General features: G+C 44.7%; 1 protein-coding gene across 1 annotated transcript in view, besides 1 other annotated feature; it reads left to right on the top strand.

Annotated features, from left to right (window-relative positions):
- The first annotated feature begins 1510 nt into the window (after positions 1-1510).
- The window catches only part of ZNF157 (zinc finger protein 157), a 43921-nt gene continuing 32766 nt past the window's right edge, over positions 1511-12665 (top strand). Inside the window, exon 1 of the mRNA NM_003446.4 lies at positions 1511-1673. Within this exon, the coding sequence (NP_003437.2) occupies positions 1602-1673 (72 nt within the window). The 5' untranslated portion in view covers positions 1511-1601. The remainder of the gene's footprint in view (positions 1674-12665) is intronic.
- Positions 12069-12568: an enhancer, noted in NCBI's record as "H3K27ac hESC enhancer chrX:47240535-47241034 (GRCh37/hg19 assembly coordinates)". NCBI's record gives its function as "activates a minimal SCP1, AML or CMV promoter by ChIP-STARR-seq in naive H9 embryonic stem cells {active_cell/tissue: H9 hESC(naive)}" and the evidence as "EXISTENCE:reporter gene assay evidence [ECO:0000049][PMID:30033119]".

The following is a 12665-nucleotide window of genomic DNA, read 5'->3' on the forward strand; positions in this document are numbered from 1 at the left end:
CTTCCTTCCTTCCTTCCATCCTTCCTTCCTCTCTTTCTTTCTTTCTTTCTTTCTTTCTTTCTTTCTTTCTTTCTTTCTTTCTTTCTTTCTTTCTCTCTTTCTCTCTTTCTTTTTCTTTCTCTTTTAGAGACAAAGTCTTGCTCTGTCACCCAGGCTGGAGTGCAGTGGCGCCATCAGAGGTCACTGCAGCCTCAACCTCTCAGGCTTCTTAAGCTATCCTTCTGCTTCAGCTTCCTTAGTAGCTGGCACTACAGGTGTGGACCACCACACTCGGATTATTTTATTTCTTGTAAAGACAGCGTCTCACTTTGTTGCCAAGGCTGGTTTCGAACTCCTGGACTCAAGCAACCCTCCTGTCTTGGCCTCCCAAAGTTCTGAGATTACAGGCATGAGCCACTGTGCCCAGCCCACTCTATTTCATCTTCTCTTGTGTGAGCTAGAGCCCACAAAACAATTTTGGGTTATAGCAGACAGTACTAATTTTGTGGCAATAGCTTCATCATTTTACTTTTTAGCATGGTGTTTCAGAGTTATGTTTCATAATTGATTTTTGTGGCACTTAAGTTATTTACTTTTTCCATGATTTTAGTTTGAGCTTATATTAGTAATGGCTGCTGAATTGCGTTGGATGCTTTTTTGGTGTAAGTTAACAGCAGAGTGTTTCCCTCTGTAATTTGTTGATGTAATACATAACATTAGGCCTGGTGCAGTGGCTCACACCTGTAATCCCAGCACTTTGGGAGGCCAAGGCGGGAGGATCACTTGAGGTCAGGAGTTCGAGACCAGCCTGACCAACATAGTGAAAACCCGTCTCTACTAAAAATACAAACATTAGCTGGGCGTGGTGGCGGGCGCCTGTAATCCCAGCCACTAGGGAGGCTGAGGCAGGAGAATCCCTTGAACCTGGGAGGCGGAGGTTGCTGTGAGCTGAGATCGCACCATTCCACTGCAGCCTGGGTGACAAGAGTGAAACTCCATCTCAAAAAAAAAAAAAAAAAAAAGAAAAAATACATAACATTATTAAGATTGAACCATTTTTTTCTGGAAAGAAGAGGCTAAAAGCTTCCCAGTAAAAGAATTTAAGAGGGATATTTCATCTAAGAGTGGAAAAAAACAAAAGACGGCAGAAGAAAGGACCAGCCGATTTCCTTTCATTTAGATTATCAGCTTTCCAGGTTTCCTGCCCTCACAGTCACCCACCAGGTCCCCTTGAACCTGCCCACCCCATGGGCCTTAAGCACCCTTAAGCACTGCCCCAGTTCTACTTCTCCTAAACCCAGATCTGCCTTGAACTTGAACTGAGGTGTAGGCTGGCTGAGTAGCGAGTGAAGCACCTGGTAGAGCCACTCAAGAAGGGACCCCAAGCTCATTAATTTGGCCCCAAATTTGATCATTTTGTAATCCACCTTGACTCATGCTCTGGGGATGCTGAACATTGTGGCGTGAATGTGGGATGACACTGATGATATGGATACTGTCCTTTTAGGATTTCTTGGTGTCTCTGTGGAGCCATTGAGCCTTACCCCTTACTGGAGGCTGCAGGACCCTCTACACACAGACAGCTGTCCAGCACGGAAGGTGGGCTGAGGCCCAGGGTGAACATGCCAGCTAATGGGACATCACCCCAGAGATTCCCTGCCCTGATTCCAGGAGAACCTGGCAGATCTTTTGAGGTAAGGAGGAGGATCCTATTTTTTTCTATATGTTCTTTATTTTTTTATTTATTTTTAGTTAAATTTATATTTTGAGATAATTGTAGATTCAAATGCAATGTACCATTTACCTAGTTTTTGTCCCCAGTAGTAACATCTCGTAATACCCAGGATATTGACATGCAGAGCATTTCCATCCCCACAAGGATCCCCCATGTTGTCATTAAATAGACACAACCACTTCACTTCCTCCATCACTCCCCTCTTAACCCTGGGGCACCACCAATCTGTTCTCCAATACTATAATTTTTTCATTTCAAGAATGTTGTGGCTGGACGTGGTGGCTCACGCCTGTCACCTGTAATCCCAGCACTTTGGGAGGCCGAGGCGGGTGGATCACTTGCGGCCAGGAGTTTGAGACCAGCCTGGCCAACATAGTGAAACCCTGTTTGTACTAAAAATACAAAAATTAACCAGGTGTTGTGGCACGCACCTGTACTCCCAGCTACTCGGGAGGTTGAGACCGGAAAATCGCTTGAACCTGGAGGCGGAGGTTGCAGTAAGCCAAGATCGTGCCACTGCACTCTGCCTGGGTGACAGAGTGAGACCCTGTCTCAAAAAAAAAAAAAAGTTTTATTTGCCGGGCATGGCAGCTCATGCCTGTAATCCCAGCTCTTAGGGAGGCAGAAGCAGGAGGATAGTTTGAGCCTAGGAGTTTGAGACCTGCCTGGGCAATATAGTGAGACCCTGTTCTCCACAAAAAGGAAAAAAAGGACAAAAAAGAGAGACTGTTATATTAATCAGATTGTACAGTATGTACCTTTTGGGACTGGCTTTCGTCATTCAGCAAAATTCTGTGGAGATATCAATAGCTAACAGTATATCAATAGTTCATTCATTTTTTTTGAGACAGAGTCTTGCCCTGTCACCCAGGCTGGACTGCAATGGCGTGATCTTGGCTCACTGCAACCTCTGCTTCCCGGGTTCAAGCTATTCTCCTGCCTCAGCCTCCCGAGTAGCTGGTATTACAAGTGCGTGCCACCACACCTGGCTAATTTTTTGTATCTTTAGTAGAGACGGGGTTTCACCATGTTGGCCAGGCTGGTCTTGAACTCCTGACCTCGTGATCCACCTGCCTCAGCCTCCCAAAGTGCTGGGATTACAGGCGTAAGCCACCGTGCCCTGCCCATTCCTTTTATTGCTGATACTTTTCCATCGCATGGATGTACCAAACAGTATAACCATTCACTGGTTGAAAGACATCTTGGTTGTTTCTAGTTGTTGGATATTATGAATAAAGATCCTATAATAGTTTGTGTAAGGTTTTTGTAGGGGTGTGATACTGTGAAATATATAATTGGTCTTTCCTGGCAAACAACTCCTAATATCCTCGGAATCTCTAAAGTACTAAAGTGTCTTTTTGTATGCTAATGAGTTGACTGATGCCTGGCAGTCCCTAGGCAGCTTCCGAATGGGGCTGGTCACCAGAAAGACTAAGGTAGGTTTAGAGGGTTGGGACCCTCCAACCACCTGGGAGGGGAGAGGGTGCTGAGAGTCAAGTCGATCCACAAGGGCAAATGATTTAATCAATCATGCCTACATAATGAAGCCCCCCTAAAGCCCCAAAAGGATAAAGTCTGGAGAGCTTCTGGGTAGCCGAACACATGGGGGTTCCTGGAGGGTGGTGCACCCAGAGAGCGCATGAAGACTCCAGGCCCCTTCCCACATGCCTTGCCCTATGTATCTCTTTATTTGGCTGTGATTTATTTGTATTCTTTTTTTTTTTTTTTTTGAGATGGAGTTTCGCTCTTGTTGCACAGGCTGGAGTGCAATGGCGTGATCTTGGCTCACTGCAAACTCCACCTCCTGGATTCAAGTGATTCTCCTGCCTCAGCCTCCCAAGTAGCTGGGATCACAGGCATATGCCACCACGCCCAGCTAATTTTGTATTTTTAGTAGAGATGAGGTTTCTCCATGTTGGTCAGGCTGGTCTCAAACTCCCGACCTCAGGTGATCCACCTGCCTTGGCCTCCAAAAGTGCTGGGATTACTGGTGTGAGCCACCATGCCCGGCCTGAATTTGTATTCTTTAAAATATCCTTTATTGGTGGGAGAGGCCGGAGAATTGCTTGAGTTCAGGAATTCAAGACCAGCCTGGGCAACAAAGTGAGACCTCATTACTACAAAAAATAAAGCTCAGGTGGGGCACGGTGGCTCATGCCTGTAATTCCAGCACTTTGGGAGGCCGAGGTGGGAGGATCGCTTGAGGTCAGGAGTTCAAGACTAGCCTGACCAACATGATAAAACCTCATCTCTACTAAAAATACAAAATTTAGCTGGGTGTGGTGGCGGGCACCTGTAATCCAGCTACTCGGGAGGCTGAGGTAGGAGAATCACTTGAACCTGTGAGGCGGAGGTTGCAGTGAGCCGAGGTCGCACCACTGCACTCTAGCCTGGGCAAAAGAGCGAGACTCTGTCTTAAAAAAAAATCCTTTATAATAAATCAGTAAACATAGTCAGTTTTGTGTTTCCTGTTGAGGGTGAGCGGCCACTGTCTGGGCCGGTGGCTCACAGGTAAAAGAATTTACCACGACAGTTGTAGGTAAAGAAAGGCAGATTTATTAGAGAAAGGAGGAAAATACATTGCAAGAGAGCAACAGGTAGAATCAGCAAAAGAGGAACTGACTTCGAGGAAATGAAGGCTTGCTGGAGATTTTATAGGATGGTTCTTGGGCTGTTTGATAACGCCAAGGTAGCAGGGAGCTAACTTGCATTCTTCTGTCAGCCAAGGTGTTTGATGATGAATTGGAGTGTTTGATGATAAGCAGGAAGTTTGTGAGTTATGTACATTATTTGCTCAAGAAGACTATATGTCCTGGGCCATAAAGAAAGACAGACCTATAACTTAAACTTATCTGCATCTTCTTTTTGTTTATATGTCCTGGAGCAACTCCTTTTCCCTAATTAGGACTCCACATTTCCCTGAGTTTTTTTTTTTTTTTTTTAAATGCAGGGTCTCTCTGTCGCCCAGGCTGGAGTGCAGTGACAGCTTGCTTACTGCAGCCTCAGCCTCCCGGGTTCAAGTGATCCTTCCAAGTAGCTAGGACCACAGGTGTGTGCCACCACGCCCGGCTAATTAAAAAAAATTTTTTTTTTTTTAACAGATGAGGTGTCACTTTGTTTCCCAGGCTGGTCTTGAACTCCTGGCCTCAATCAATTCTCTCTCCTTAGCCTCCCAAAGTGCTGGCATTACAGGCATGAGCCACTACTCCCAGCCTTTCCTTGAGTTCTATGAGCCACTCTAGCAAATTAATTGAACCCTAGGAGGGGATTGTGGGAAGCTTGACTTGTAGCTGGTCAGTACGAAGCTCTGGAGTCTGAAGTGGGGGTAGTCTTCAGAACTGAGCCCTCAACCTGTGGGACCTGATGCTATATCCTGGCAGATAGTGTCAGAATGGAATTGAATTGGAGGACACCCAGCTGTTGTCTACTGCAGAATTGACCTCTTGCTTGATGTGTGAGGAAAATCCCTCACTCATCTGTTGTCACAGCATGTTATGAGAGTCTAGTAGGAGAAACTGTGTTTGTATTTCTACTCCTACACAGTGGGGTAAATGCATGTGAGAACAATTGTGGGATTGTATGCCAAGTGCATATAGAACAGAATTAATAGACAATCTTTTTTTTTTTTTTTTTTTGAGACAGAGTCTCACTCTATCACCCAGGCTGGAGTGCAGTGATGTGATCTTGGCTCACTGCAACCTCTGCCTCCCCGGCCCAAGCGATTCTCATGCCTTAGCCTCCTGAGTAGCTGGGATTACAGGCACCCAACACCATACCCTGCTAATTTTTTGTATTTTTAGTACAGACAGCGTTTCACCATGTTGGCCAGACTGGTCTCCAACTCCTGACCTCAGGTGATCCACCCGCCTTGGCCTCCCAAAATGCTGGGATTACAGGTGTGAGCCACCACGCCCAGCAATCTTTTTTTTTTTTTTTTTTTTTTGTGAGATGGAGTCTCGATCTGTCACCCAGGCTGGAGTGCAGTGATGCAATCTCGGCTCACTGCCACCTCTGCCTCCCAGCTTCAAGCTATTCTCCTGCCTCAGCCTCCCAAGTAGCTGGGATTACAGGCACCCGCCACCATGCCTGGCTAATTTTTTTGTATTTTTAGTAGACATGGGGTTTCACCATGTTGGCCAGGTTGGTCTCAAGCTCCTGACCTCAGCCTCCCAAAGTTCTGGGATTACAGGCGTGAGCCCTGAGCCCGGCTGACAATCTTTTTTTTTTTTTTTTTTTTTTTTTTTTTTTTTTTTCAGACAGAGTCTTGCTCTGTCACCCAGGCTGGAGTGCAGTGGCACGATCTTGGCTCACTGCAACCTCTGCCTCCCGGGTTCAAGTAATTCTCCTGCCTCAGCCTCCCGAGTAGCTGGGATTACAGGTGTGCACCACCATGCCTGGCTAATTTTTGTATTTTTAGTAGAGACAGGGTTTCACCATGTTGGCCAGGCTGGCCTTGAACTCCTGACCTTGTGATCCACCCACCTCGGCCTCCCAAAGTGCTGGGATTATAGGCATGAGCCATGGTGCCTGGCTGATAATCATTTTTAATACAGTTTTAGAGGTACAGAAAAGTTAAGATAGTACCTATAATTCCATATGCTGTCACCTCCTCAACCCCCCCCACAACTGGTGCAGTTTTCCCTATTATTCACATCTTGCATTAGTGTGGTACATTTGTAAAAATTAATGAACTGATAGTGATATATTACTATTAATTTTAGCCTACAGTTTATAGTAAGGCTCACTGCTTTGTGTTGTACATAGGGGTTTTGGCAAATAGATCATGACATATATCCACCAGTGCAGCTTCATACAGTTTCATTCCGTTTCACCTGTGCTTCAGCGATTCATCCTGCCTTTCCCTCTGCCCGAACCTCTATCAACCACTCATTTTTTACTGTCTTTGTAGTTTTGCCTTTTTTTTTTTTTTGACACTGTGCCTCACTCTGTTGCCCAGGCAGGAGTGCCATGGTGTGATCACTGCTCACTGCAGCCTCTACCTCCCAGGCTCAGGTGATCCTCCCATCTCAGCCTCCTGGGTAGTTAGGACCACAGGCACATGCCACCATGTCTGGCTAATTTTCAGTATTTTTTATAGAGACACGGTTTTACCATGTTGCCCAGTGTGGTCTTGAACTCTTGGGCTCAAGCAATTTGCCCACCTCAGCCTCCCAAAGTGCTGGGATTTACAGATGTGAGCTATTATGCCAGGTCTAGTTTTGCCTTTTCTAAAATGTCATGTAGTTGGAATCATGCAGTATGTAGTCTTTTCAAACTGGCTTCTTTCACTTAGCAATTTGTATTTAAGGTTCCTCCATGTTTTTTTGTGGTTTGATAGTTCCATGAATTGGAAGTACCACAGTTTGCTTATTCCTTCACCTACCGAAGGGCACTTTCATTGTTTGTAGGTTTTAGCAATGATGAAAAAAGCTACTATGAACATTCATGTGCGGATTTTTGTGTGAACATGTTTTGAACTCAATTGGCTAAATAACTAGGAGCATAATTGCTATGTCATATAAGCTTTATAAACTTTATAAGAAACTGCCCAGGCAGGGCGTAATGGCTCACACCTATAATCCCAGCACTTTGGGAGGCTGAGGCAGGTGGATCACCTGAAGTCAGGAGTTCGAGACCAGCCTGGCCAACATGGTGAAATCCCGTCTCTACTATAAATACAAAAAATTAGCTGGGTGTGGTGGCAGGTATCTGTAATCCCAGCTACTTGAGAGGCTGAGGCAGGAGAATGGCTTGAACCTGAGAGGCAGAGGTTGAAGTGAGCCACGATCGCGTCATTGTACTCCAGCTTGGGCAACAAGAGTGAAACTCCGTCTCAAAAAAAAACAGAGAAACTTCCCAACTGTCTTCCCAAGTTTTTCACCATTTTGCATTCCCACCAGCAATGAATGAGTATTACTGTTACTCCTCATCTTCACCAATGAAACCACCATTGCAAAATTGTAACTGAGACAGTGAAAGAGATCTAATCTGATCAACCCCATCTTTCTTCAAACCTCCGAGCTGTCCTTGTTCATTCCCGAGCATAGGCTGAACTAACTTAGGGAGGAACTTAGTTTGTAGTTTAAAACAAAGATGTTAACAGGCTTTTCCCAAGGCAAATCCCCTGCTTGCCTGGGGACTAGATTGCCTTTGTAGGAATAACAAGTTAGCCACCAGATAGAAATTATGGTTTAGGAGTCATGCAGCCGGAGACTACAAGATTCTGACCCTCTCTAAACTGCTCCTAAGATCAGTGCTTGAGATATTTTGCAGACCCTGGACCTAATGGATCAGCTGGCAACACCCAGATCGATAAATTGGCTCATCTGATCTTGTGGCCCCCACCCAGGAACTGACTCAGCACAGGAAGACAGCTTCCATTCCCTACGGATTCATCTTTGACCTGACCAATCAGCACTCCCGGCTTACACTGGCTCTCCCCTACCCCTGCCCCCCACCCCACCAAATTATCCTTTAAAAACTCTGATCCCCAAATGCTCGGGGAGACTGATTTGAGTATTAATACAACTCTGGGTCTTTGTGAATTACTCTGTGTGAATTACTCTTTCTCTATTGCAGTTTCTCTGTCTTAATAAATCTGCTCTGTCTGGGTAACAGGCAAGGTGAAGCCATTGGGCAGTTACACCAGCATTTGGTATTGTCAGCTTTTTAATTAATTAATTAATTATTTTGAGACAGTGCAGTGGTATGATCACAGCTCGCTGGAGCCTCAACCTCCCCAGGTTCAGGTGATTCTCCCACCTCAACCTCCCAAGAGTAGCTGGGACTACAAGCATGTGCCACCATGCCTGGCTAATTTTTGTATTTTTAGTAGAAATGGGGTTTCACCATGTTGCCCAGGCTGGTCTTGAACTCCTGGCCTCAAATGATCCTCCCGCCTCAGCCTCCCAAAGTGCTGGGATTACAGGTGTGAGCCACCATGCCCAGCCTTTTTTTTTTTTTTTTTAAAAAAAACCACATTCTAATAGGTGTGTGATCCTATCTCCTTGTTTTAATTTGCAATTCTCTAGTGACATGATGTTGAGGACCTTTTTATATGCTTATTTACCATCTGAATGTCTTTGATGAGGTCATCTTTTCAGATCTTTTGCCCACTTTTTAATTGAGTAGTTTGTTTTCTTATTGTTGAGTTTAATAGTTCTTTGTACGTTTTGGATACTGTAACCTCCCAATGGGTTCCCCTTGCCCGCTGCCTAGACAGAGCTGATATTAAGACAGGGGAACTGCACTAGAGAAAGAATAATTCACGCAGAGCCAGCTGTACGGGAGACTGGAATTTTTATTATTACTCAAATCAGTCTCCCTGAAAAGTTGGGGATCGGAGTTTTTAACGATAATTTGGTGGGTAGGGGCCAGTGAGTTAGAAGTGCTGATTGGTCAGGTCATGGATCAAATCATAGGAGTTGAAGCTGTCCTCTTGTGCTGAGTCAGTGCCTGGGTGGGGGCCACAAGACCAGATCGAGCCAGTTTACGGATCTGGGTGGTCCCAACTGATCAATTAAGTGCAGAGTCTGCAAAATATCTCAAGCACTAATCTTAGGTTTTACAATTGTGATGTTATTCCCAGGAACAATTTGGCTAGAGTCAGAATTTTGTAGTCTCTAGTTGCATGACTCCTAAATCATTACTTCTAATCTTGTGGCTAATTTCTTAGTCCTACAAAGGCAGTCTAATCCCCAGGCAGGAAGGGGGTTTGTTTTGGGAAAGGGCTGTTATCCTCTTTGTTTCAACGTTAAACTATAAGCCAAGTTCCTCTCACGCTGGGCGCGGTGGCTCATGCCTGTAATCCCAGCACTTAGGCCGACGCAGGCAGATCACCTGAGGTCAGAAGTTTGAGACCAGCCTGGCCAACATGGTGAAACCTCGTCTCTACAAAATTATAAAAATTAGCTGGGCGTGGTGGCCTGCACCTGTAATCTCAGCTACTCGGGAGGCTGAGGCAGGAGAATCGCTTGAACCCAGGAAGCGGAGGTAGCAGTGAGCCGAGATCGTGCCACTGCACTCCAGCCTGGGCGACGGTGCCAGACTGTCTCAAAAAAAAAACTAAGTTCCTCTCAAAGTTAGTTTGGTCTGTGCCCAGGAATGAACAAGGGTAGTTTGGAGGTTAGAAGCAAGACGGAGTTGGTTTAGGTTGGATCTCTTTCACTGTAATAATTTTCTCATTATAATTTTACAACGGTAGTTTCAATACAAGTCCTTTATGAGATAAGTGTTTTGCAAATATTTTCTCCCAGTCTGTGGCTTGTCTATTCTGTCATCAGCGTCTTTCACAGAAGAGAAGTTTCTAATTTTAATAATGCACAACGTACTGTTTTTTTTTTCTTTCACAGGTCATACTTTTGGTGTTGTATTCATATACATATATATTTTTATAGAGATGGGGTCTCACTAGGTTGCCCAGGCTGGTCTTGAACGCCTGGGCTCAAGCGATCCACCCACCTCAGCCTCCTAAAGTGCTGTGATTACAGGCATGAGCCACTGCACTTGGCTGGTGTTGTATTTAAAAACTCATCACCAAACCCAAGGTTACTTGGATTTTCTTCTTTGTTATCTTATAGAAATTTTATAGTTTTTCATTTTACATAGAGATCTATAATCCATTTTGAGTTAATTTTTTTTTTTTTTTTTGAGACAGGGTCTGCACTCCAGCCTTTGTCACCCAGGCTGGAGTGCGGTGGTGCGATCTCGGCTCACTGCAACCTCTGCCTCCTGGGTTCAAGCAATTCTGCCTCAGCCCCTGGAGCAGATGGGACTACAGGTGCACACCACCACAACCGACTAATTTTTGTATTTTTAGTAGAGATGGGGTTTCACCATGTTGGCCAGGCTGGTATCGAACTCTTGACCTCAAGTGATGCACTGCCTTGGCCTCCCAGTTTTGAGTTAATTTTTGTGAAACATATAAGGACTGTGTCTAGATGCTTTTTTTTTTTTTTTTTTTGCATATGGATGTCCAGTTGTTCCAGCACCATTTGTTGAAAAGACTTATTTCTTCACCGAATTTCTTTTGCTCCTTTGTCAATGATCAGTTGGCTGTTTTTGTGTGTATATATATTTCTAGGTTCTCTATTCTATTCCATTGATCTATTTGCCTATTCTTTCACCAATACCTCTGTCTTGATTAGTCTAGTTTTATAGTAAGTCATGAAGTTGGGTGGTCTCAGTCCTCTGACTTTGTTCTTGTTTAGTACTATGTTGACTACTTTGGATTTTTGCCTTTCCATATAAACTTTAGAATCAGTTTGTTGATAGCCACAAAATAATTTGGTGGGAATTTGATTGGGATTATGTTGAATCTCCTGATCAAGGTGGGGACAATTGACATGTTAACAGTATTGAGTCTTCCCTTTAGCAGCAGAGAATCCATACGGGTCTGCAGCAACCTCAATTCTTGCCTCCTCAGAAAAAAGAATTTGAGGGGCATAAGACAGAGTGAGAGACCAGGGCAAGTTTTAGAGCAGTAGTGAAAGTTTATTAAAAAGCTTTAGAGCAAGGATGAAAGGAAGCAAACTACACTTGGAAGAGGGCCAAGCAGGCGACTTCAGAGATCAAATGTGCGGTTTGACTTTGACTTGGGGTTTTATGCTTCCTGGGTCTATATTACCCCTCCTTTGATTCTTACCTTGGGGTGGGCTGTCCGCATGTGCTGTGGCTTGTCAGCGCTTGAGAAGGGGCCGCATGCGCATTGTGGTTACTGAAGTTCTACGCATGCTCACTTGAGGAGTTTTTCCCTTACCAGCGGAGTGTTCCTAAAGGAAGGTTATATACCAGTTAAACTCGGCCATTTTGCATCGTAGTGCACATGTCTTGAGCCCACTGGCCCAACTCCTGAGATCTTATTGGGAAGCTGCTGATCACCAGTTTCAGGTTTTTTGGTATCTGTTGAGAGACTGCCTTTCCCTGGCGCCAGCTGCAACCAATTATTATTTTTATTTATTATTATTATTTTTCTTTTTTATTATTATTTTTCTTTTTTTTTTAGGAGGAACAGGAGAAGCAGGAGGAGGAGGATGAGCAGGAGAGAAAGGAGGAGGAGAAAGAGGAGGAAGAGGAGCAGGAGGAGGAGAAAGAGAAGGAGGAGCAGGAGGAGGAGAAAGAGAAGGAGGAGCAGGAGGAGGAGAAAGAGAAGGAGGAGGAACAGGAGGAGCAGGAGAAAGAAAAGGAGGAGCAGGAGGAGGAGGAGAAAGAGAAGGAGGAGGAGGAGGAAGAGGAGCAGGAGGAGGAGGAGCAGGAGGAGGAGAAAGAGAAGGAGGAAGAGCAGGAGGAGGAGGAGCAGGAGGAGGAGGAGAAAGAGAAGGAGGAAGAGCAGAAGGAGAAAGAGCAGGAGGAGGAGGAGCAGGAGGAGGAGGAGAAAGAGAAGGAGGAAGAGCAGAAGGAGAAAGAGCAGGAGGAGGAGAAGCAGCAGGAGGAGGAGCAGCAGGAGGAAGAGGAGCAGGAGGAGGAGCAGGGAGCAATTATTATTTTAGAGAGACAGTTTTAACAACTGCCTGACCATCACCTCCTGGTGGGGTTTGAGGGGGGGTGCTCTCCTGCTCTGCTCATGTCTAACTACCTAACTACCTAATTACTCTAACATTTCTGTCAATAAACATGCAATATCTCTCTGTTTACTTATATATTCTGATATATTTCATGTCAAATTTTGTTTGATTTTCCTCATGTATGTCTTCTACATATTTTGTTAGGTTTATGTATATTTTATCTTTTTGGTGCTAACGTAAATGGTATTATGTTTTTAATTTTAAATATCAATTGTTCATTTCGGGTATATAGGAAAACAATTGACTTTTATTAAGCCTGTATCCTGTGACTTTACTATAATCACTTAATAGTGCCAGAAAATCCTTTACTGAAATGGATTGTGAGAGTAGCTAAATGATAGGGGTAGTATGTTTGATTTTGAATGCTGTAGAGTGGAAGAGCATGTCTG

The sequence above is a fragment of the Homo sapiens genome, chromosome X (assembly GCF_000001405.40).
Source record: "Homo sapiens chromosome X, GRCh38.p14 Primary Assembly".
NCBI lineage: Eukaryota > Metazoa > Chordata > Mammalia > Primates > Hominidae > Homo > Homo sapiens.